The 25,322-nt window shown below is 38.4% G+C and overlaps 1 protein-coding gene, 1 non-coding gene and 1 pseudogene across 14 annotated transcripts in view; all 3 read right to left on the bottom strand.

Annotated features, from left to right (window-relative positions):
* Positions 1–25,322, bottom strand: part of RALGAPB (Ral GTPase activating protein non-catalytic subunit beta) — a 106,016-nt gene that overhangs the window by 39,473 nt on the left and 41,221 nt on the right. For 4 of the 13 annotated variants that reach the window (XM_005260462.4, XM_047440314.1, XM_047440316.1 and 1 more), the window contains exons 6-16: positions 23,016–23,194; positions 21,732–21,880; positions 21,386–21,602; positions 19,111–19,146; positions 17,688–17,889; positions 14,441–14,608; positions 13,868–13,982; positions 13,344–13,491; positions 8,155–8,219; positions 6,527–6,656; positions 4,179–4,312 (exon numbers count right to left, since the gene is read on the bottom strand). In XM_005260462.4, the coding sequence (XP_005260519.1) occupies positions 4,179–4,312; positions 6,527–6,656; positions 8,155–8,219; positions 13,344–13,491; positions 13,868–13,982; positions 14,441–14,608; positions 17,688–17,889; positions 19,111–19,146; positions 21,386–21,602; positions 21,732–21,880; positions 23,016–23,194 (1,543 nt within the window). The other 9 variants (NM_020336.4, NM_001282917.2, XM_005260465.4 and 6 more) reach the window with 4 other exon arrangements.
* RPS3P2 (ribosomal protein S3 pseudogene 2) lies at positions 927–1,636 on the bottom strand (annotated as a pseudogene).
* On the bottom strand, positions 22,754–22,823 carry MIR548O2 (microRNA 548o-2). Its single transcript, NR_039605.1, has one exon. It is a non-coding gene; the product is annotated as a microRNA 548o-2 (primary transcript).

Raw genomic sequence — 25,322 nt, 5'->3', positions numbered from 1 at the left:
TTGCCCAATATTTCAAGTATACAACTGGTCAATTCTGACATAAGTATGCACCTGTGAACTATCACCACAATCGACAGCGGATGTATCTATCACCTCCAAATCTCTTCATGCACCTTTGTAATCCTTCCTCCCACTCCTCTTTGCCCCTCTCCCTAAGCAACTGCTGATCTGCTGTCACGATAGATTAGCTTGCATTTTCTAGAGTTTAAATAAATAAAGTCATATAAAGATCATACAATATGTACTTTTTTTGGTCTGGTTTCTTTCACTCAGCATAGTTATTTTCAGACTTAGCTACACTTTTGGGTGTATCAATTGTTCATTCATTTCTATTGCTGAATAGTAGTCCACTGCATGGATATACCACAATTTATCTAGTTACTTATTAATGGACATTGGGTTGTTTCCAGCTTCTGGATATTATAAATACAGCTGCTATAAACATTCATGTACAAGGTATTTATATCGATAAATGTTCTCTTATCTCCTAGGAGTGGAATTATTGGGTCATATGTAGGTGTATGCTTACCTTTTTAAGGAACAGCCAAGCTGTTTTCCAAAATGGTGGCTCCATTTAACATTCTCGTCAATAGTTCCTCCACATCCTCACCAACATTTGGTATGACCAGTCTTTTATATTTCAGCCATTCTAATAGATTTGCAGTGGTATCTCATCATGGTTTTAATTGAATTTCCCTAATAATTAATGATATTGAGTATTTTTTTCATGTGCTTATTTGTCATCTGTATATCATCTCTGATAAAACATCTATTCAAATCTTTTGCCCAATTTTTAATTGGGTTGTTTGTTGTATTATTAAGGGCTTTTGTTGTTGTGTTTTGTTGTCTTAAAAGATTTTATTAAAGGTCTTTACAAGGCAACATCCAGACTCCAGATCCAGCTGCCAAGGAGACCCTATTACACAGTTGGGGCTGGGTAGAGCATGGCTTCCTAACCATCTGTCCTGAGATGGGCATGGCGAATAGTATCTCATCTTTAGGGTCTACAGTGCTCACGTGGTCAGGCAGGGGATTCTTAAGGCCAATCTTACCACTTGGGCCCAGGACGCATGAGCTTCACTTTGATGCCCAGCACACCCTGTCTTAGCAGCACATGGTGGATGGCAGTATCAATGCAGTAGTTAACAAGGTCTCTGCTGTGGATCATCAGATCACACACAAAAGTTCATGAATTCAGTTCTCTGTCCTTAGAGTTTCGCTGACACCATGACCTCGTAGCTCTTGCCCCACTCTCCATAATGAACCACAGCACACTACAGAAGGCTCTCCTCACAGCAAACCCTAATAGTAGTTTACAGCACAGACTCTGTCTGGGCAATGGCATAGAGAATTATTTTAGGCCACCTTTTCAGCATAAAGCTTTCCCTGCCCTCAAGGAAGCCAAACCTCTTCTGAACTATCTCAGCCAATTCATAGATCCGGTGGTTCTTTTCACCAAGAACACTCTGCATCCTGGAGGCTAAGGTAGTGATTTCTATCCTGGTTGGCATAACTTGGACCTCAGCTCCAGAGTAGTCACCTTCTGCAAGCTTCTGAGTGAAGAATTCGCTCAGTTTATTTCTGAAGATGCTATCAAACTTCCTCTTCTTAGAAATTTTCACCACCATATTGCTGCTGTGCACCACCAAAAGGAAAGGCTATTATTGAGTCCTGAGAGTTCTTTATGTAATCTGAATACAAATCTTTCATCAAATATATGCTTTATAAACATTTCCTCCCAGCCTGTGATCTGTCATCTCATTCTTTTAACAGTGTTTACTAAAGAACAGCAGTTTTAAATTTTGAAGTCCAACATATCAGTTTGTTCTTCTAGCGTAACACCTAAGAAATCTATCCCAAGGTCACAAAGATTTTCTCTTGTTTTCTTCTAGAAGTTTTATTGTTTAGGTTTTATATATATATTTTTATGTAATAGAGACAAAGTCTCACTATGTTGCCCAGACTGGTCTCTTCCTGCCTCAGCCTCCCAAAGTGCTGGGATTATAGGCATGAGTCACCATGCCCAGCCAGTTTGAGTTAATTTTTGTTCATAGTGCAAGGTATGAATCAAAATTTTTTGGCTTTTTTTTGTGTGTATGACTATCCAATTGTTTTATAGTACCTCTGGTTGAAAAGACCACCCTTTCTCCTTTGAATTACCTTTGCACCTTTGTCAAAAATCAGATGACCACTTAAGTATGGATATACTATTTTCTTCCACCGATCAATTTGTCCACCCCTATGCCAATACCAGGCTGTTGTGTTACTGTAGCCTTACAGTAAATCATCAAATCAGGTAGTGTTAGCCCTTTATGAATTGTTAGGCAGGTCCAGAGCAGTGCTCCATTTAGGACTAATTATTGCTTACTACTGAGTGTACTAAAGGTCACAGGAAACAGTACCTTGCTCTCAAAGACAGTGTGGTCCTGTATGTCTCACAAATGGCTGTTTTTTATTTTCTGTACCAGTAACTGCTTCTCGCAAAGTTATGATGTCCATCCTGGAGGATCTTTGAGGTAAGCTCTAAGTGGTGGTAAGAACACCTTAGGTTTTATTGCTTATTTTGTTTCTTACAGCTTAGGTAAGTCACAGCCTCTGACAACTATTCCCATAACTGAAAAATAAGGATTTGAACCATATCATCCCAGACAGTAGCACCTGGTTATCGGCTCTTTGTTCACAAAATATTTTACGTATTTCCTCAATTATATATTATATGTAAGATAATCCTGCTCATCTTACTGTCAAGAAAACACCTAGATGTTAGAGAAAATGCAAAGAAAGTGAAACTCTCATACACTGGGAATGTAAAATGATTCAGTCACTGTGAAAAACAGTTTGGCAGTTCCTCAAAAAGTTAAACATAGGGTTACCATATGACCCAGTAATTCTGCTCCTAGTGTACACCCGAAGAACTGAAAACTGGTATTCAAACAAATACATGTACATACATGTTCACAGCAGCACTACTGACAACAGCCTAGAGATTAAAACAACCCAAATGTCCATCAAGTGATAAATGGGTAAACTGGGGTATATACACACAATGAAATATTATCCAATCATAAAAGGGAATACAGTTCTGACACATTCTACAACATAAATGAAACTCAAAAACATTACATTTAGTGAAAGAAACCAGACACAAAAGGTCACACATTGTATGATTCCATTTATATGAAATGTCCAGTATAGGTAGACCCATTGAGATGAAATGGTGGTTGTCAGAGGAGGGGGTGCGGAGACTGAAGCAAAACTGCTTCATGGGTATGGGGTTTCCTTTAGGGATGATAAAAACATTTTGGAACTAGAAGTAGAAGTTGCTCAACATTGTGAATGTACCAACAGTCACTGAATTGTTTGCTTTTAAATGGCTAATTTTATATTACACAAATTTCATCTCAAAAGAATACACTTAGAGAAGCACAAATGACCACCAAGTTCTAAGTTTCCAAAAAACTGAAGTAACGGCTGGGAAAGAAATCTAAAAAGTGTAGCCAAGGCCAGGTGCAGTAGCTCACACCTGGAATCCTAGCACTTTGGGAGGCCAAGGCGGGTGGATCACCTGAGGTCAGAAGTTCGAGATCAGCCTGGCCAACATGGTGAAACCCCATCTCTACTAAAAACACAAAAATTAGCTGGCTGTGATGGCGTATGCCTGTAATCCCAGCTAGTTGGAGGCTGAGGCAGGGGGATTGCTTGGAAGCGGAGGCTGCAGTGCAACAAGTTTGCACGACTACGCTACAGACTGGGCGACAGAGCAAGACTCCGTCTCAAAAAAAAAAAAAAAAAGGTGTAGCCAGTTTTCACTTATCTCTGATAATGGAGGATGGCAGAGCCACAGGTAATCCCAAATGGCATACATTAGGATAATCATTTTTTACAAAATCAATATGCATTCTAGTATTATATGCAAATAAATAAATGGCAAGTATTGAAATGTTTCCTATAATTTAACGGTAAAAATCTCATTCATACTCTTTGAACCTATTTTTAAAAAGTAAAGTTCATTGCATAGAATATCACTTGGAGGCTAAATTTTGTACACTTTGGATATAATATAAACTATGTTTGAGCATGATCAACACTAAAATACCCACACAAGGGGTTAAGAGATACAGAAAAAACAGCCAAGGCCCAAGGCTGTTGGGTTAAAATAAAAGGACTGTCTTCCTCACCTTTGCAAGGCCAGAGAGGAGCTCTAGAGCTGCCAGTGATATGCTCATGTCTTGGCGCCACTGGGAGTTGAGTCTTTGGGTGACGAGATGAATGCTGCGAATCAGGAGCCCAGCAGCTGAATCTGTATTAAGAGCTAGGATATAACCCCAATGCCACATCCCACAGGGAGGGAAAACAACTAAGCATTAGTAACGAGAAGCACAGCATCCACTAGGCACAGACCACAGCAGCCACAGTGAGAACGACGGGCACCCACACAGTGCTACGCTCCCCACCCCACTGGGTTGAGTGCCAAGCCTGACTACACGGTGCACAGGCACATGTGCTAGACCAGAGCAGCTTCTAGTTCCTGGTTCACGCACTTTGACACAACCGTGGGATTTGGCAGTTTCAGTGTCATTTTCATAACAACGTAATTTAAAGTTTCTAAATTATCAACTCATAGCTACATTTTCAAAAAGAGTGATGAAAAGGCTATCAATTATTTCCTTGAAACTTTACAGAGGAAAGTTCTAATTTTACGGCCTCCTCAGATGCTAGGAATTACTCTGAAGCAAGCATCTGTTGAAATTACTTACAGGGTTTAAGCCATCAAAACTCACATGCAATGCCTTTTCAAACATACTTTAACATTTAATTCTCCAGGATTACTTTAATACTTCTAAAAAAATTAAATAACCAAGCCACCATATTTTTATTTGGGCTCCAATCTATATGTAAAAGCAATCACTAGTTAGCTAATAGGAAATTAGGAAAAATTAAATAAAGACAAATTAAACTGAATTTATAAAGGAAGCTTTAGGGACATTATACCTGTCGATCCTATCAGAAAGAGGGCAGTGACAACAGAAAAAGGAATGATCATTAAAGAGAGACACTCATGCGACACTAACACAAATCAGGATTTCTTAGTAAAAAATATTTTACGACATTACAAGCAGAGCTCACTAACACCAGCTCAAAATGCTGAAACAAACAATAATCACTTAAAACATTTATATTAGAACACATGCAGTAATGAAAAATTTCTTTTTTTGTTTTTGTTTTCTGTTTTTTTTTTTTTTTTTTGAGATGGAGTCTCGCTCTGTTGCCCAGGCTGGAGTACAGTGGCGCAATCTTGGCTCACTGCAACCTCTGCCTCCCAGGTTCAAGAGAGTCTCCTACCTTGGCCTCCAGAGTAACTGGGATTACAGGCACCCACCCCCACCCCCAGCTAATTTTTGTATTTTTAGTAGAGATGGGGTTTCACCACGTTGGCCAGGCTGGTCTCGAACTCCTGACCTCAGGTGATCCGCCCACCTTGGCCTCCCAAAGTGCTGGGATTACAGGAGTGAGCCACTGCGCCCAGCCAGTACTGAAAAATTTATTTAGCTTAAATGTGTTTCAGAAAGCATGAAAAATAATTTTCAACCTATAGAATACCTAAATCTACATACACAGTGAATAAGATAATTTAAATAACTTCTTCACGAATATAATATTTAAATGTGTCAAATATCCACATAATGGCTTTATGTATATCTGACATGTTCAAGGATACTTGTTGCAAACTTAAACCATAGAAACATGCCTCATGAATTCATGAACTCATGAACATGGCTCATGACATGCCTCATGAACCTCATGAACATGGCTCATGAACTCTCCAGATGATTAAAGGATTAAACTCACATCTAAGAATCTAGATATCACTCCAATCTAGCTGGATAAGTGCTCACAGATTTAATACACTGTTAGTACTTGTGTAGAAAAACATAAAGGTACCCACAAACTCACAGAATCCATAAAACAACTGCCCAAGGTAGGGGACAACCTTGTATAGGATGCTTGGCTGGCAAATGTTTTACTTGGCAGGGCAGAAAATAAAAATGTTTCAGGGCTAAAGAATCTAGTGAGCTACAGTAGGGGGTACACAGGTTTTAACATGAAGACATGCTCTCCTCTGGGCTGCTATCTAATCCATCCCCCATTACCCTCCTTGCCACACTGCAATAACTGGCTTATTGGACATCTCTGCCACTACACTGTGAGCTCTGAGGCAGAGTCCACATCTTATTTGGTTCTCTACCACCACACATGGTAGAGAATTCAGAAATGTTTACTGATCACCCATTACTATCAATTATAAAACCTAATATACTACCCCAAATCTAATATACTACCCAAAAGCTATACAGCTAAATCAAAAAGATTTGTTTTTTCTTAGCTTCTTAAGACTGACATCCTCTCTATTATACTTAAGTATATAAAAAACATGAACATTAACATTTTTAATGTTTTTGTTTTATAAATGTAAGCATTAAAGTCATTCTATTAAACTTTGAATTTCAAAAGAAACACGACTAACCATAATCTCTTAAGAGAGCTTGAGCAGGTCTCTCACTATCGGGAGTCGTGGGCTCCGTGCTTCCACCACTTGCTGAACTAATACCACTATTGGTGCGACTATGACTCTTCAGGTTATTTTCTCCACCACCCTAGTCAAATGAAAATGAATCAAGTGAGGATTACATCACAGTTTACAAGCATAAATAAAGGTCAATCATTAAAAACCATGTTGATAAAGCAGAATGTGCCAACTGAATAGTACAAACTGATAGTAACAGAAATTGACAAGGGATTAAAACCACTGTGGTATTTTTACACACACAAATCTACTGGAGGGTATGAAGGATTTGTACTACTACAAGTGCCCATACTGGGGTCTTCTTTGCCACTATTTACAAAGGGCTGGCCCAGCTTTTTCATCTTTACTAGACTTCACTAGATTCCAGGTCCTTAAAAAGAATACCCTAGTGCCTCCCAAGCAAAACCTCAGAACAGAAATATAAGCTTAAAAAGCATGAATAAGGCCAGGCGCGCTGGCTCACACCTGTAATCCCGGCACTTTGGGAGGCCGAGGCAGGCGGATCACGAGGTCAGGAGATCGAGACCATCCTGGCTAACACAGTGAAACCCCATCTCTATTAAAAAATACAAAAAAATTAGCCGGGCGCAGTGGCAGGCGCCTGTAGTCCCAGCTACTCGGGAGGCTGAGGCAGAAGAATGGCAGGAACCTGGGAGGCGGAGTTTGCAGCGAGCAGAGATTGCGCCACTGCACTCAAGCCTGGGAGTCAGAGCGAGACTCTGTCTCAAAACCAAAGCAAAACAAAACAAAACAAAAAACAAAAAGGCATGAATAAACAAACGGCAACTTTCAAATACAGTTATATCAGAAAACACAAACAATACTAGGGTTAGTTTTAACTCCCGTATGTATAGGGGCTAATAAACCTATCTGTTAGACTTCCCTCATTTTTCCCCATATAAACACAGTTCATTATATTCAGATCAGTAAATTATTATTCACCATCTACTGAGACACGAATGTAATTTCCGTAATAATAATTTGATCACCCATCTTACATCTACTCAGCTTACTACATCTACCCAACTTACCCCAGTATACCCTATTAACCCCTCCATTGTCTTGCCTATACTCCAAGTATAGGGATGATATATCTTGAAGACAAAGCAGAGAGCACTGGAAGTCTCTGAGAAGCATTTTTGATTTGGAAGCATTGGTGCTTTGAGGGACCTGCAAACTTAGGTCTAGAGGGGTTAGAAAGAATTGATGGGTAAGAAAAAGTTAAACTAGTTGCTTGCTGGCTAGGGCTTTTCCTAGGTTATTCAACCAAGTTTGCCACCACAGCAAAACAAGTAACAGTTTTAAGCAGACACTGTTCAGGAATAAAGACTGGATTTAGCTGTAGTTTCTCTCATACAGAATATCTCGGGAACCTGATGTACAGCTGAAGAGGCACTGAAAAGCAAACCTCAAAATATACATTATTTTTAAAAAGAAAACTTCTGAGCCAATGAGCAGGATTTACAAACCAAAGGCCTTTAAAATTCACAAAGATGGACATTCTGGAATATAATTTACATGAAATTCAAAAGTGATATTCTCTGACAGATTGCATGTATGCTTCTTACCATCTCCATCTGGCAACCAATGGCTTCCAAAAGTGCTGAATCTTGAACAATATTTAACATTGCCCCTACAACAACAATAAAACAGTATTTTATATAAAATACACAAGAACACTAAAATGCGTAAGACATTTTATATGATTAATAGTACAGATAAGAATATAATTTTGGTTGAGCATTCCTGAAATACCCATGAAATTATAGTTGGCTCTTAAACAAGAGCTTGAACTGTACATATGCAGGTTTTTTTCAATAAACATGTTAGAAAGTTTTTTGGAGATCTGTGACAATTTGAAAAAACTCCCAAACTGCATAGCCTAGAAATATTAAAAAAAAAAAAAAATGGCCAGGCACAGTGGTTCATGCCTATAATCCCAGCACTTTGGGTGGCCGAAGTGGGGCGGGAGGTCAAGAGTTCGAGACTAGCCTGGTCAACATGGTGAAACCCCATCTCTACTAAAAATACAAAAATTAGCCGGGTATGGTGGTGTGCGCCTGTAATCTCAGCTACTCAGGAGGCTGAGGCAGGGGAATTGCTTGAACCTGGGAGGTGGAGGTTGCAGTGAGCCGAAATTGCACCACTGCTCTCCAGCCTGGACAACAGAGCGAGACTTCATCTCAAAAAAAAAAAAAGAGAAAGAAAAGAAATATTTAAAAAAGTATAAAAAGTTAAAATTGGCCGGGCATACTAGCTCATGCCTGTAATTCTAGCACTTTGGGAGGCCGAGTCAGCAGGATTGCTTGAAGTCCTAGGAGTTTGAGACCAGAGTGGGCAACAAAGCAAGACCCTGTCTCTAAAAATAAATAAAAAATAAAAAGCTAAAATTTATCAAAAAACTTACGTACACAAACACTTACAGACCATACATGATGCCATTTGCAGTCCAGAGAAATGTAAACAAAGATGTAGTATTAAATAACTGTATAAAATTAGCTGTAGTACATACTGCACTACTGTAATCATTTTGTAGCCTCCTCCTGTTGTTACTGGGGTGAGCTCAAGTGTTAATGAGTATGCTGCTTAAAATACAATGTGATGCTAACCATCTCCATGTGAGTAGTTCATCTCTCTAACAGACTGAACACTGCAGTAAATTGCATACCATGGTTCTCACATGTTTTCATCATGTTTACTGCAACACCATGAACCTTGACTAACGCCATGGGACCCATAGGAAGTGCCACTAGTGATGCTGGAAGTGCTCCCAAGAAGCAGAGAAAAGTCATGACATTACAAGAAAAAGCTGAGTTGCTTGATATGTACTGTAGATTGGGGTCTACAGCTACAACTGCCCAACAGTTGAGACGATTTATCTTATAAACAGACAATTTATGGTATCAATAAATACAGTACTGTAAATGTATTTTCTCTTCCTTATGATTTTCTTTTTTTTGAGATGGAGCCTCACTCCGTCACCCAGGCTGGAGTCCAGTAGCGTGATCTTGGCTCACTGCAACCTCCACCTCCCGGGTTCAAGCAATTCTCTGCCTCGGCCTCCGAGTAGCTGGAATTACAGGCGCCTGCCACCACGCCTGGCTAATTTTTTTTTTCTTTTTTGTATTTTGAGTAGAGACGGGGTTTCACCATCTTGGCCAGGCTGGTCTTGAACTCCTCACCTCGTGATCCACCCACCTCGGCCTCCCAAAGTTCTGGGATTACAGGCATGAGCCACCACGCCCAAGCTTTATTTTTATTTTTATTTTATTTTTTTTTTTTGAGACGGAGTTTCGCTCTTATTGCCCAGGCTGCAGTGCAATGGCATGATCTTGGCTCACTGCAACCTCCGCCTCCCGTGTTCAAACATTCTCCTATCTCAGCCTCCCAAGTAGCTGAGACTACAGGCATGTGCCATCACACCCTGCTAATTTTTGTATTTTTAGTAGATACAGGGTTTCACCATGCTGGCCAGGGTGGTCTCGTGAGTCACCCACCTCAGCTTCCCAAAATGCTGGGATTACAACATGTATTTCTTAATAAAATATTCTTTTCTCCAGCATACTTTATTGTAAAAATGCAGTATATATTAATAATATGCATAAAATACAAAATATGTGTTAATCAACTGGTATGGGTAAGGTTTCTGGTCAACAGTAGGCTATCAGTAGTTAAGTTTTTAGGGAATCAAAAAGTTATATGTGGATCTCAACTACTCAGGGAATTGGCATCACTAACACCCATGTTGTTCAAGGGTCAACTCTACTAATAAATCCACTGATTGGTCAGAAGAGACTCTTTAAAAATTCCTTAATTCTGGCCAGGTGCATTGGTTCATGCCTATAATCCCAGCACTTTGGAAGGGTAAGGCAGGTAGATCATTTGCTATCAGGAGTTCAAGACCAGCTTGGCCAACATGGTAAAATCCTGTGTCTACTAAAAAATACAAAAATTAGCTGGGCGTGGTGGCGGGTGCCAGTAATCCCAGGTACTCAGGAGGGTGAGGTGGAAGAATTGCTTGAACCCAGGAGGCAGAGGTTGCAATAAGCCAAGATCATGCCACTGCCCTCTAGCCTGGGTGACACAGCGAGACTCCATCTCAAAAAAAAAAAATTCCCTAAAATAAATGTGGGCCAGGCACAGTGGCTCACACCTGTAATCCCAGCATTTTGGGAGGCTAAGGAGGGAGGACTGGAGAAGCCCAGAAGTCCGAGACCAGCCTGGGCAACAGAGCAAGACCCTATTCTAACAACAACAAAAAATTAGCCAGGTGTGGTGGCACACGCCTGTGGTCCCAGCTACTTCAGAGGTTGCGGCAGAAGAATCACTTGAGTCCAGGAGCTTGGGCTGCAGTGACCCATGATTGCACCACTGCGCTCCAGCCTGGGCAACAGAGCAAGAACTTGTATTTAAATAAATAAATAAATAAATAAATAAATAAATAAATAAATAAAAATAAAATGAATGTGAAGGTCAAACTTGCTTTATATAAAAACATGCTCATTATCAGATATTTTTTAACTGGTGTAAAAGACCAGATGTAAGCATCTCAATTTCAAGGGTAATATAAACTAAGGAAAATATTATGGAATACTTTCAAAACTAGGTTCTAGTCTTAAAAATAAAACAAACATTACTGTCTGTTTTTTCTACAGGGAAAAAGAAACAAATAAATAAAACAAAAATTACAAAATAAAGTCACAGCAATAGCTTTCTGACCACACTGCTTTTTAAGAATGATTAAAGCCACACAGTCTGGGGCTTGTTGACATCTGCATACCCTGAAGTAAGCTTCATTTATTTATTATCAAGGAAACCATTGTCCTGGAAAGGCTAGGACAGAAATGAGATGGTGAGCCTAACACACTGCTTCTCATCCCCGTGGGAGGTACTCTTGCCCACTATGGATAAAGAGAAGATGGAAAGAGCTTTGCCACTTTATGGCAAGAGTAACAACTGACTCTTCCTTGGAAAGTACATAGGGAGTGCCTCAGAGCAAGGGTGTAACAAAACCAAATACTGCTTCAATCGTAGAAATTATATAATTTCAAGCAAAATTATGTTATTTAAATAACCTAAAACATTGTAACTTGGAGGTTCTCACATATCAAAACATCCCCCTCCACATAAACCACCCTCTGTGTTCAGAATGTATCTGAGATATTATCAATGCCACTGGTAGACTCTGGTTCCAAACCTTGGTCAGACTGACCACATTAACTTCAGAAGGTCTCTAAAAGCCCAGCCTGAACAAGAATATAGCTATACATCATAACTGAGAATGTAAAGAGCAAAAAACTCCATTTGTGAGTCTAGAAAATCATGTCCACAATTAATGGCTTTTGAGACTTACGAAACCCTAAAAAACTTTTTGCCCAGCTACAGACAACTCCAGTCACCTACTAATTAGGTGTCTCTGGATAAATATGGTTCTTGGCCGTTGTGACCCATCTCTTCAGGATCTGTCCCTCAGTTTTAGAGGCCTTTTAGAAACCATTTCAAGGATTGTGTTCCTGTTGGAAGGACATACACCCCACCTCCTCTGGGGGCATAAGGGCTTAAAGGGAATGTCTGATCCCACTTTTGAACAGATAAAAATCTAAGATGCTAGGAAGAAGCTGAATTCTAGTCTTGCTAATGAAGAGAAGAAAGAAAGCCTCTAACCACTGCCAAGGTCAAGTCATCCTCAGAGATCAATTGCTCCATAAGCGGGGAGTTCTAACTGCCACCCAGGTTTGTGGGCTGGGATGGTATTTGCATTCACATGGTTCAGTGGGGACTCCTGTTAGGTGGCTGAGGAAAGCCCTACTTTCCTAAGAGCTTCCACTGTCAAGGGTGGTGATCTCAATACCCAGGATTGCACTTTAGTGGCACTGAGACACAGAAGCAACAACTGAAAACCCTTTGCTTTCAAATGTAATACATTGCTGTTTACCCAATTTGAACATCAGATTAGAGGAAGAAAAGAAGAGCTCCTCTGTTCATCAGGGTCTCTCTGAAGATTTTCAGGGAGATAAGACTGTCCCTTAGTGCTAACACTAGATTTGTCAATCACCAAATACCTTATGATATATTTTGAAAAACATGTAAAAAGCGGGGAGTTTAAGCATTTAAGCAAACAAGATAATTTCAGGTTTTGTGTTGTGAAAAAAATGATGAAATAAGATAATCTTTAGCAAGTATTGTTAGGGAAGCTCTCTCTTAAGAAGATGATGAAGAAAAGCTAAACAAAAATCTAGGGAAAGAACACCCCAGCAGGAGGGATATAAAGTAAGGTTCTGAAGAAATCATTAGCTGATGTGTTTGAGAAAAAAAGGACTAGGACGAAAGTGCAGACTGATGAGACCTGTAAGTAATGGGCAGGAGTAAGAGGAAGAGGCAAGAAGAAGAGGAAGAGGCAGGAGGAAGAGGACGAGGCGGGAGGAAGAGAAAGAGGCAGGAGGAAGGAGAGCAGGAAGAAAGGAGGAAAGAAGAGAGGGATGGGAAGGAGAGGCAAAGAGTGGAGAAAGGAGAGAAGGGAGAAGAGAAAGAAAAGCAAAAGCACAAATAAATGACCAACCAAGACAACTGTAACACTTTACTTCCCTCATCTCACTGCTTTAAATTTTTTTACATTAAAAAACTAACTTGTGCCTCTGATTCAGAGTAAGTAGAGCTACATTAGGTTTAGGCTCCCATTACCGACTGCCGCCTCCTCAGCAGGCCTGTAGTCAACAGTACTTTGGTTTCACTTACAAAATAACGTGTGAATACAAACCTAATATCATTTGGGTGTTGTTGGGGTCCGTTTCAGTTTGCAAGGCACCTATTAATATATTCACAAGTCTCAACTTCAGGGACAGAAAAGTTATTGGTTTATCATAAGAAGAGCTGTCATCGTTACTAAACTTTCCTTCCAGGACCACCTATGGAAAAAACAAATAATATTTAACATCAGCTGTTGCAGCTTATGATGCCCATGTGGGAACAGCTAGATGGAGGAACGGATCAGTATAATGAGAAAGGCTTTCAGTCTAATATTAGCCACTGTGCTGAATCTGTCACTAACAATATGTTAATAGATGTCCTTAGCCTATAACTGCTTGAAAACTGGTAGAAAAACTGACAGAACAAAAAAAAAAAATCACAAGTCAACTTTGTTAATTCACTTGAAATAACTTGATGAAATAACTTGAATTGAAAAATAAAAAAAGCTCCTGTTTCATTTTTAACATTCGATTTGACTTAAATTAGTACAAAAAACAGAATATAGGATATAAAAAAACTTTAACAAAACATTACCTCAGATTTGACTGTGCCAAAATGATGAGGGAGGGGCAACAAAGAAAGCAGGATATTAATGGAGGATCTTCGCAATTCTGTTGGATTTACATAGCTTTTGAATTTTGAGAGTTCTCTGCCAAAAAATAAAAAGCTATTAGTATTTTTGAACTAAAGCACATTTTTAGCTACTGCCAAATACATATAATGCCAATTTTTCCAAATCCAAGCATTGTGTATTTGTATATTGTATATTTCTAAGTTAAACTGTTACTGAATTAAACTAGAAGTTGATTGATTGATTTCTTTACCTAAAACGTAAGGCCTACTCTACAAAGGTAAGACCTCTGTGTTGGAGTTGTTCTTACCCTTCTAGACCAGGCCAAAAACGATTCAACAAGCCCACAGACAAATGAGAACTGAAGGATTTCAGGGATGAGGTGGGTTTGGACACACTACACTCATTTAATGTCGCCTGAGTTCTCTTGGACTATGAAGACAACTGGACAGGATACATTAGGAAACTGGGGAGGAAGCACCAACAGACCAGGCCAAATCAGACAGTTGATATAATAGCAGAGAATGATAGCTTACCTGTCAGGCAAAATGGTTTCAAGAGCTGAAATAAAGTAAGGAACCACAACATCAATCCCTTTCAAGTCACAGCAGAACAAAGGAGGAGAGTTTAGAATAACGCTGGCCAAGACAGGATGGCACACATAATCATTTATCTGCAAACCTTGAATTAAAAGCATGTAAAATCTAGGAAAGCAAGAAAAAAATTTTAAACAAACTGCTGATCAAAAGTTTTCATAATTATTATTTGCTACATAGTTAACTGAAAGTCTATTTCCACTCATCACTATTTTTACCCTTTAAAGAAAGGACATTATTGGAATTACTGGAATTTATTAGAATTTTACCCTTTAAAAGTTATTACTGGAATTACTGGAATTTTACCCTTTAAAGGATATTACTGGAATTAGAACAATTCTGAATCATATACACTAAGACCCAAATCATCTTTCTTAATGAAGAAAAAAAAAAATTCATGTCTGTTGCACCTTCTCAAACCTTAAGCCTTGCAACTCAAAGTTCTAGGGGCCTGCAAATAAGGCAACCAGAACAAAACAAAACAACAGGCTGCAGTACTTTTCAATAAACTGGGGGAACTGCTGAGTTAAATTCCGTAAGAGAAAAATGTTGCAACATTTAGTAATTCCTAGGGAAAAAGGTGTGTTTACATTTTTGTCCCTTCCCCATTATTTTTGGGGGGACAATGAAAGAAAGAAACCTGCATTCGATCATCTGTATTCATCATGAAGGTCACCTGAATAAGATTCCTTTTAGGAATATACCTGAATATAGCTTAGTTTTTAACTCCACCCCCAACCTCTAATCAACTTACTAAGCATTCAATCTCCCGTTATTCAACAGCAGCTGCACTGTTATACTCTTCTATTGTGAGGTGAGTTTCTCTTCTCTGCAAAACTCTTCAGAAACAACTTCATCACCTACTGGTTACTGCTCAACCCATTTCAATCTATCTCTCTCCCTAGAACTCAACTAAAACCATACTAGCAAATAACCAATGGGCTCTCGATTGCCAAATCCAAGAGACATGACTAAGTCTTAACTCATTCTGCCTTTTGAAAGCATTCAGCCCTCTAACTACTCCCTTCTCTCCTTGCTCTTCCCTGATTTCTATGACCATTTTCTTTTACAGGTCCTCTTACTCTACCTGCCCCCTAAAGATGGTGTTCCTCAGTCTGACAACCTTAGTTCTCAAAGCTCTCTCTTTTACTAACCTGATTTTAAACACTTCTTAAGTCACTAAATATAATCAAATCATTCTAACCCACACCTCTCAACTGAACTCCAGATCTATTACCCAAAAGCTTACTGGATATCTGGATGTCTAGTGATTATTATGGTACTTCTGTGCACAATATCTGGCACAAAGTAGGACTTAATAAATATTTGTTGATAAATATCCCATAGGCACTTCAAATTCAATCGATTCAAAACTAAACTAATAACTTGCCCTCTCATGAATCTGTTGTTTTGGTTTGTCCTACTACCACCCATTCAGTCTTATGGCTCAGTCAGAAAGTTCATGGTGATAGCCTTCTCCCCTACTACCAAAGTACCATTTAGGATATCTCCCCAGCCCAGAGTTCCTGAGAAACATGCCCCCACAACAAGTGGGTGAGCTCCAACACCCTTATGTGACCCACCTTCACAACTGTAGCTGACTAGACCAGAGACAGGCAGATTAATTAGATCCTCCTTCCCAGGAGTCTATAATTAAAATTCAGAGATACTAATTGGTCCTGATGGTCACCTAGACCAAGGCCATGAAAACTGGGAACTTTTTTTTTTTTTTGAGACGGAGTCTCACTCTGTCGCCCAGGCTGGAGTGCAGTGGCACAATCTCGGCTCACTGCAACCTCCGCCTCCTGGGTTGAAGCGATTCTTCTGCCTCAGCTTCCCGAGTAGCTGGGACTACAGGCAAATGCCATCATGCCCGGCTAATGAAAACTGGGAACTCAGAAGCACACTACAATAAGAGAAAATGATCTGCAGAGAAGAGAAGAATGAAGCAGTTCTGGCAGACCAGGAAGACAGAGAAAGAGAGAGGAATAAAGTTGTTTTGGTCCTTGAGTATCTGCTCTTCATGAGGCCATACTGCATTTCCTGACCTTAGAATTTAATAAATATCACTAGCTTCTCACAACTTCTTCTCCTTTTACTTAAGTCAGATTGAGAGGGTTTCTGTTGCTTAAACCAAGCGCCGATAGTTATGATAACCCTGCCTATTTGCCTGTATATACCATTCTTTTTCATATCTATAAAATTCTGTACTTGGTTCCCTCTGATAGGGTCAGTTTAATTCTATCTCCTGAGAACCTAGCAAGTATGCAGATATCTAAATACTCTGTTGATATTAACCTCACTTCTGCACTTGTGTGAATGATCAGTTAAGGAAGGCAAAACAGTGTCAAGAAGAACGGGAGGCCATTATGAGTTAATTTAGGAGAAAAGTGACAAAGTCTAAAGTATAATGGTGGGGATAGAGTGAAAAGAGAGATCAGAAAGAGAGTTAAGTAGCAGGAAGGCAAGAGTTGGTTGATCGGTTGATCAACTAAAGATACAGAAGAAGAGGATTCTAAAATGACTCTTCGTTTCTGGCCTGAGCAACTGAATGGATGGCAGAGGCATTAACAAAGATGGCTGAAGCCATAGATTTGGAGAAGATGACCCTAACCAACTTTCTAACATAGGCTAAATGCTACTCATCCTTTATAAGTCCAGCATAATCATTTAATCCCCCAAAACTCTTTCCTGAATCCCCTACAGTAAATAAATGTGCGCTGCTTCTTCCCCTGAATGCCCACAGCACATTATCTGTGCCTCTCCCATCAATATCCTAATTCCTGCTGGATCATTGTTACATGTGTACACGGCTTTGTTTGGGGCTTTGCCCAGAAAATAAGCTCCTTGGAGGCAGGATTTACAGCTGACTTATTTCTGGACTGCCTACATGGGAATACTGTGCTAAAAATTTGTTAACAAATAATTGTGGTCCTTCGAAATCTCTCCATATTAAAAAGATTCAAATAAGATGACATAAATAGCACTTCTAAAACAAAAAGGGTCTTAAGGGTCTTTACCAAATCTGATGAGACAGGTAAAATGAAAGATTTCAGGCAAATGTCGATCACTTACAGACATCTGTAGGTATTTCAGACCAACATCACTCATCGGTTCAGTCGGCCAACCAACAATGGCTTCACTATCAAAACTATATAAATGAAAAAACAAACAAAAATTCCAAGACCTGGATAAATAAGCTGGCAGAATCTCTTCTCCAGTCTTCTTGCTACAAAAAATCCTACACAGTGTCCCACAAGCCTCAGCTCTTCCTGCTTCATAGTTATCAGGAAATTCACTTGCATCAAACATAGGATTGGAAACCATGGTGTCTGTGGACATTTGTGACCCTTTCCGTCGAAACTCCATGCTAGCTTGTGTTGTAATGGCTGGGGAGAGAAAAGGAGGGTTTTATTATATTTGCAATATGCCACGTAGGCTCATGGGACCCTGGACACAAAGATCAAATATTGGTGTCATTAAATAGCTACTTGAATCCAATAAGTGCTTTTGTTTAGCAACTATGTCTTAATATTTTTAAAAAGGGCTCTCTGAAATCTTCTTTGAAAATAGGTTACAATTAATTTACAGTGGCATTGTCAGTTTAACAGATGGTACAAGAAGCATTTTTCAACTGAATTTTTGATCAGCAGAGTACATTTGTATATATCTGTATCCACATACAGATATATAATACAGAATTTGGCTTTTCTATTATTTCTTTTCTGTTTTTTCTTCCCCCTACAGAATGATGCTTAAACGTTAAGAAAAATAGCTACTGCAATTTACACATTACCCCAGATGGACATCCTAATTAAATGGGCAACCCTATGCCAGTCTGTATACTTTAGGGAGAGGGCAAAGTAAGGATGAGAAGTGGGCAGGGAGAAAAAGAGAGCATTCCCACCACCCACCCAACTCCAAAACACACACCAAAGAATCGCTCAACCAAGCAAAATGAGAATGAATTTTAACAACCACAGACAGCAGCTAACTTGAGGCTGATAAATCAGAAAATTGGATTGATAAAAAAGATTATCATGGTCATTTGTTATCACTGAAACAGAAGCCCTTTGAAAGTTGCTTTTATTTTTAACAAAAGATTTCACAGTGTATTGAAAATCACTCTGAAATCTTTTATTACTCTACATGAAATGCTTAAATTATTTTATAATAGATTTAATAGAATACAGAGTCAAGCATAAATCTTTATGCAACTTCCCATGAGCCATTTTTAGTCCTAAATAAGCTATCCAGCAATAATACATTTGAAAAACACTACATGCAGAATGCATACAAATCAAACACTAAATCTGTATAAAAATAAGCTTAAAGCTTTAAAAAAAAAAAAAAAAAAAAAAGCCAAAACACAGTTAGTGCAAAGTCCTGGAATTCATGACATGACCAGACTAGTATACAGAAATAATGGGACTGATTCAGGCAGATTAATTTGCTCTTGCCAACAATCTTCCCCATTCAAAACACAGAAAAGTATTTTTCTTCCCAAGTGCAAAAACTACAAGAGACAATGACAATCAAATTTTTAATGGAATTATGAAAAAAATAAAAACATGACTGCAATTAAGGAGAAGCTTCTGGTTCCTACTTACAAGATTTATAAGAAAGAAGAATTTGGATAAAAGATGCTGCAAGATAATAGAAATAAATGGAAACAAATCAAAGGACAGTAGTAATTATAAAATACTTTAAAGATGGTGAAATTTTACAATAAATTAAGAAGCTTTTTAGCTTTTTAAAAGTTAAATTAAAAGCTTTACGATACCACAAGCTAGTTCAAAAACATAGGAAATTGTGCATTCAGGTCCAAAATTATGATTTTTGTATCATGCAAAACAATGAACGAAGAAAATTACACAACTACAAAGAACTGAGGTTTTGAAGTGCCCATAACGTGCATTAAAATTTTAGTTCATTAACCCTTCCCAGCTCAATGTTACTTTTACAAAGCACAGTGTACTGTCATGTAAATCAAAAGCTAACCAGTTCAAAGAAGCAAACACTTTAAGTTAGAGGTGAACTGCATGGCAGAATTCCTTGATGGCAGCCAGTACTTAAAAAACAGTTAATATACCCATGCCTCCCACCAGACTTGAGACCTCAAGATTGGCACCTAGCATTCTAACCCCTTTAACTATTTGGACACCTCATATCTCCTGGGTAATGTAACAGCCTTTATCATCTCTGAACACAATGAGGAGAAAAGGAGCTTCTATCCTCTCCCCAGCAAGGAAAAATTTTAAAGTAAGATGTTGTTCACGTATGATTTGAAGTCTGGTTTTTATCTTCTGGTGCAAGAGGGTGAGCAAAGCTGTTACAAACTCCCTGGAGAGCAAAAAGATCTATAAGTTCCCTTTAAGCAAGCCCACCAACCAAGCAACAGGTTGAGCCATTCTAGATTCACAGATTTCAGTGTCAACAGCTCTATACCCAAAAGTTACATTGTAAGAATTACATCTTAACAAAAAGAAAAAAGAAAAATAGGACTGATTCATTCTAGAAAATGCAAATTAATAAATATAAACATGGTACAGAAAACTCAAAATACAAGGTACATGAACATAAAGACAAGAATAACCCAATAGTCATTTTTTTAAAGTTTTCACTTATTGTAAGTAAGCACATTTACCTATCCCAGAAGCACTACTTTCAAATTGTGGATAAAATTATAATATGAAAATGGAAGAATATAAAGTGTCTGAATTTGAACAAAATAAAGCAAGCAAAGACATCCCTAAACTCAACCATGGCATTCTCAAATTATATTCCCAAAAATCTTTATATTCACAACTTTTCTAAATTAAAGATTTGTAAGAATATTCAAAATAATTACGAGTATAATGTTCACAGACATAGATCCTAGTTCTGAGATGATAATAATAATAGCTAAGAATTATAGTAACAGCTAAGAATTCATTTCTGAGAGAAAGCAGAGACCCTTCTGGTCATTGTATTAGTTTTATCCTTGGAACTGACAGTCTCCCTAGAGATACATAAACTAATTAGACATCTTTTTGTCTTGATCTATTTCCAACCCCAGTAGAAGAGTGGTTTCTTACCAAACAATCAATACACTCATTAATGCATATATCACAGTACCTGGCCAATAGTAACAGCAGCTCAATAAATGCCAGCCATTGTCATTTTTCAGCTCTCTAAGACATATTATAAATATTCAAAACATTGTGCCCTACCCCACCCATCCATCCTGCACCCTATGCCATTACTTTCAAATATAATAGTTAAGATGACAAAAAAAACCACCAGCTCTTAGACAGTTTCCTTTTTATAATAAAATCTAAATGAAGATATCAGGGTTGAGTTATTAATTCTCCACCAATCAATTTTATTAAGTTAAAAAGCAAATAATATTTTTGAAAGTGTGCCCTTGAAATAAAGTTCTCTAGACTAAAATTTGAGAGGTCAGAGTGTAGTGTGAAGCAAAAATTTTCTGATGTTTACATATACTAATGAGTGAATGGCTGTCAAAATCGAAAACACTTCTTGTAAATTTCCAGTTCGAATTTTTAATTCTTTATATAAATTTTATTATCCTGGCTGACATGAAGGGAACTTCCAGGTCACCTACTGAAAGAAATCTGATTCAACAAAATGTGACTAACCTTAAGTATGTCTAATAAAACCAGACAAAAGGCCAAACCTCATAGAACATACATAAAAAGAACAGGGAGGAAAACTTCTTAAGTTCTGTTACTTCAGCTGGAAGGGGTTAAGCACAAGACATTGCTTGGTCAGAAACAGAGAGCTTTTTAAGATACATATTAATCTTGCAGGTAGGAAAGACTAAAAAGAAAAAGAAAAAGGAAAAGGAAAATAATGATAACATATTTCTTGAGTAATATTTACCAGTCATGCTGCTGTCTCTGTTTATCCCATTATGAAGTTTACAGTGAACAAATGCTGCATCAAATAACCATGATCCAAAGAGATTCAAGATGCTGTTAACCTTTGGTCTCCGAGGGGCAGGCAGTGGCCGGGGTTCTGAACTAGTCTGATTTGGACTTGACAGAGGAGAGGTGGAGGACGTCTGGTGCTGAACTTTAGAGGCATGAGCAGTACTAACCTATTAGACGAACACAAGAATACACCCATACCAATGAAAAGTCTGAGAAAATAGCAAGACTTTATAAAAAGAATGGCAGATTAAAAAGCCAACCTTATATAGCATAACAATGGTGATGTAAACTCTTACTGTGCTTGTCTTCATGGTGGCCTTATTCACAGTAACAGCCCGGTGCCTCCGGTTATGTGGGGGGGTGGTACTGACAGCAGCACTTTGAGGCATACTTAATCTATTCACGGGTGTTGGGGGAGCACTGTCTGATCGGGGTCTAGAAATACCTTAAAAAAAAAAAAAAGACAAATGAAATTATTCTTCATAGGTCAAAATATATGATCAGAAAATTTCTCCCAGTAACCTAGTGAAGGCTTGGGACACATAGACTATAGCAGAGATTGCTAGTTGCCTCTCAGTATCTACTCACTATTTCTTCCTGAGTAACAGAACACAAACTTTAGATGGACATGGCTACCCAGAAAAAAAATGACTCAATTTTCAAACTCCCTTTGCACCTAGATGTGGCCATATTTTGACCATAAAGAAGTTGGTGACTGTTGGGTAGGTCTTCTAAGAGATCTTCTTAAAGGACCAATTATATGCAGACTCTCCTTCCTTCCTAATTCCTGGACAGGATGTTTGGAACTCACTCAACCATCATGGCCCATGAGGCACTGTGCAAAGAATGGAGAGCCACCAGATGGAAGGGCCTTGGATCCCTGCTGGTGATGGAACCATTACACTGCCTAGCCCTAGATTTAACATATGTGAAAATAAGCTATCTTGTTTACAATAGGATTTTTGGTTGTTACGTGGCAGCCAAACTTAATCAGAGCTAACATATTAACTGTACATTAATAAGTATACATAAATATTTTAGAAAATATTATAAATCACTGCCTTTCAACAGGTTAAAAAATTGACTTTTCATATATCTAAAATGTGAAAAACAGCTTAAAAGAATGGCTCACTAAAGGTATAATTTGCTTTTTAATGATATACATGAGAATGGTCCCAAATGCATTTTCATCTGTATTTTCCTGGATAGCTAGTATGCATGAACACTCTTTTCTTTTGCAATCATTTACTCTTATCCTTTGTCCATTTATCTACTAGGCCTAATTCTTGTTCTTAGCACTTTGTTTGATGTATTAGGTGGGTGCAAAAGTAACTGCAGTTTTGGCCGCATTACTTTTAATGGCAAAAACCGCAATTACTTTTGCACCAATCTAAATATTTACATAGAAACGATAACCCTCTGGCTATTTTATTTGTTGCAAATAATTTTTCCTCGCTTGTTATTTGTCATCAAATCTGTTCATCTTTTCCTTCGGATGTTTTCTAATAACTCCTAGGGTTAGCCTCTAGAGTTATCTAAATGAAGCTCTTCATACATCTAGCAACATACACAAAATTCACCTAAGAATGCATCCACCAGACAGCTGATTCCACGCATGGCACGAAAAAATATTTGAGGCAGATGTTTAAGGCAGGGATACTGATTCAATTCTTGCGGCATTCCGCTCACATTCAAGAACTGTTCCTGAAATTTGGGAGTAGAGCTTATAATAGCTGGGTTACTCAAATCCACAGGATTACTATTAAAAGAGAGGAAAGAATTAATCACAAATTTAGAAATTTCTATAGCAATAAAATACACGTAATCTAATTTAAGAATAGGACTGTGCCTATTTCTCTGATTCAGAAAAGAGACTGATTTGTATTTAATGGGCCAGCGATTCAAATCTCAACACTTCTTTACAGAAGATCTGCAGTGTGGTTACATGAACATTGCCTACTCCAAGCATGAGAATCAAAGTAAGACTAGAAAAAATTTTAATTTTGAGAGTATACATAGATGCTTTTTCTAATATGTTAAGAATTAAGCAATAGATGGACATGGTGGCACGTGCCTATGGTCCCAACTACTTGGAAGGCTGAGGCAGATCACTTGAGCCAAGGAGTTCAAGGCCGAGGCTGCAGTGAGCTATGATCATGCCAATGCATTCCAGCCTGAGCAACAGAGCAACATGCCATCTCAGGAAAAAAAGAAAAAAAGAAAAAAAGAAAAAGCAATGGAATGGTAAAGCTATAAATATGTCAACAAAAGCTCCAAGGAGAAAATTTTACTTTAATATTAACATTTTCAATTAAAAAAAAACAACTATATTTGAAAATCAGGATTAGTGTTAATAGTTTTATGTTGTGTTCATGTGTATGTACTAAAGCCATAAATTTCAAAACGGTGTATTTGTGTTTGAATTACATTTTATGTACAAACAGTTTGAAATATTTCCATTAAAAAACAGATTATGATTTTTCACTCAAATGGTCTGCTTAGCATTCCATTAAAAAGCCTCTCCAATTCAAAGTAATACTGATAATCTAAAGCCGGTAAACAGAATTTCCACTAGCTACAAGGCAAAAGAACTAGGCTGAGAAATAGGAATCAGTGATCTATACATGCTCTGCCTTTCAAAACCTCTTTTTCCACCCACCAAAAGACTTAATTTCAAGTAACTGTAATTGCGGAAAGGAGAACGTGTGTGCATGTAAGAAAAATGGGCTTCCAGTGGTAGCACACTGTTTCCATAGAACTGGACTAGTCCACCAAGTAAGACAGAGGAAGGGAGATTCGTCTCCAGCAGCAGTGCCTGCTGGGGGCTGTAGTTCAACTATTCAGAAATTAGAAGAACAAGGAGTAAAGCTGAAATGGAACTACACCTAAGTCCCACAGAGCTTGGCTAAATTCATGTCTACTGTAAATCAAAAACTGGAGAGAGAAAGATTCATACCAGCTTCTCCAGAGGTAAACCAGGAATGATTTTATTGGCTCCCAAATATTTAGAGAACAGACTCAAGAAAGTAAGTAAAACTTGAAATAAGAATGGGTAACAAAGGATATGAAAAACTAAAAGCAACTGCATTCCTGCAGTTCCCAATGCCCCGTGTACCTGACACATTTGGGGAACCTGTTAAAAAATCCAGATTAGACCTAAATTTACTGAAACAATCTCCAGATGGGGCCTAAAGGGCAGGTGGGCATACACAAGTCCAAAGACAAGCATTTGACAACAGTATGGAAACAAAAATGAAAAATATTTTTTGGTTTTCCTGGAAAAAGATAAATCACTAACACACAAGACAAAATGTTGATGCCTATCTCCCCATCATATTCAACCTTCATCCTAGGAAATCTGCCAACAATCACAAATAATCACAATCATAAAAAATCCTCATGACCTGCCTTCTACCCAGTCGCAGCTCATTTAAGAAAGGAGGTAAAACTGTCCTAAAGGAGGTATCCAGATGCCTGCCAGAGACCTAATTAACGAAGATAATTTGATCCAATTTTCCCTTTGGAGAAACTAAGCAAAGGGAAAGCCCCCGTGAACTGAAAGGACAAACACTGAAGTCAAACAGTATCACAGCTATTTACACCACTGGGCAGTTATCAAGAGACTGCATGTCCCCCTCTCAAAGGCAGGAGGAAAAAGGGACCCAGGAGCAAGCCTGCTGGAGAAAGAACAATGTGCATGCACAAGAGAATCAAAAAAGCAAAGAGAAACAAATGACAGAGTGGCTTGTCCCGAGGTTGCCTTCATCCCTCCCCAACATGAGAAAGGGTTGTTCGCTGCTTCATGGAGCCTAGTAAGACTGCTCTATCTTCACATAATCTCTTTTTCTCACCTGCATTTGCTTAAGTTGGCTCCTCTTTTTGCCATC

This window comes from Homo sapiens, chromosome 20 (genome assembly GCF_000001405.40).
Source record: "Homo sapiens chromosome 20, GRCh38.p14 Primary Assembly".
NCBI classification, from domain to species: domain Eukaryota; kingdom Metazoa; phylum Chordata; class Mammalia; order Primates; family Hominidae; genus Homo; species Homo sapiens.
This window is presented reverse-complemented; position numbering and strand designations above follow the sequence as displayed.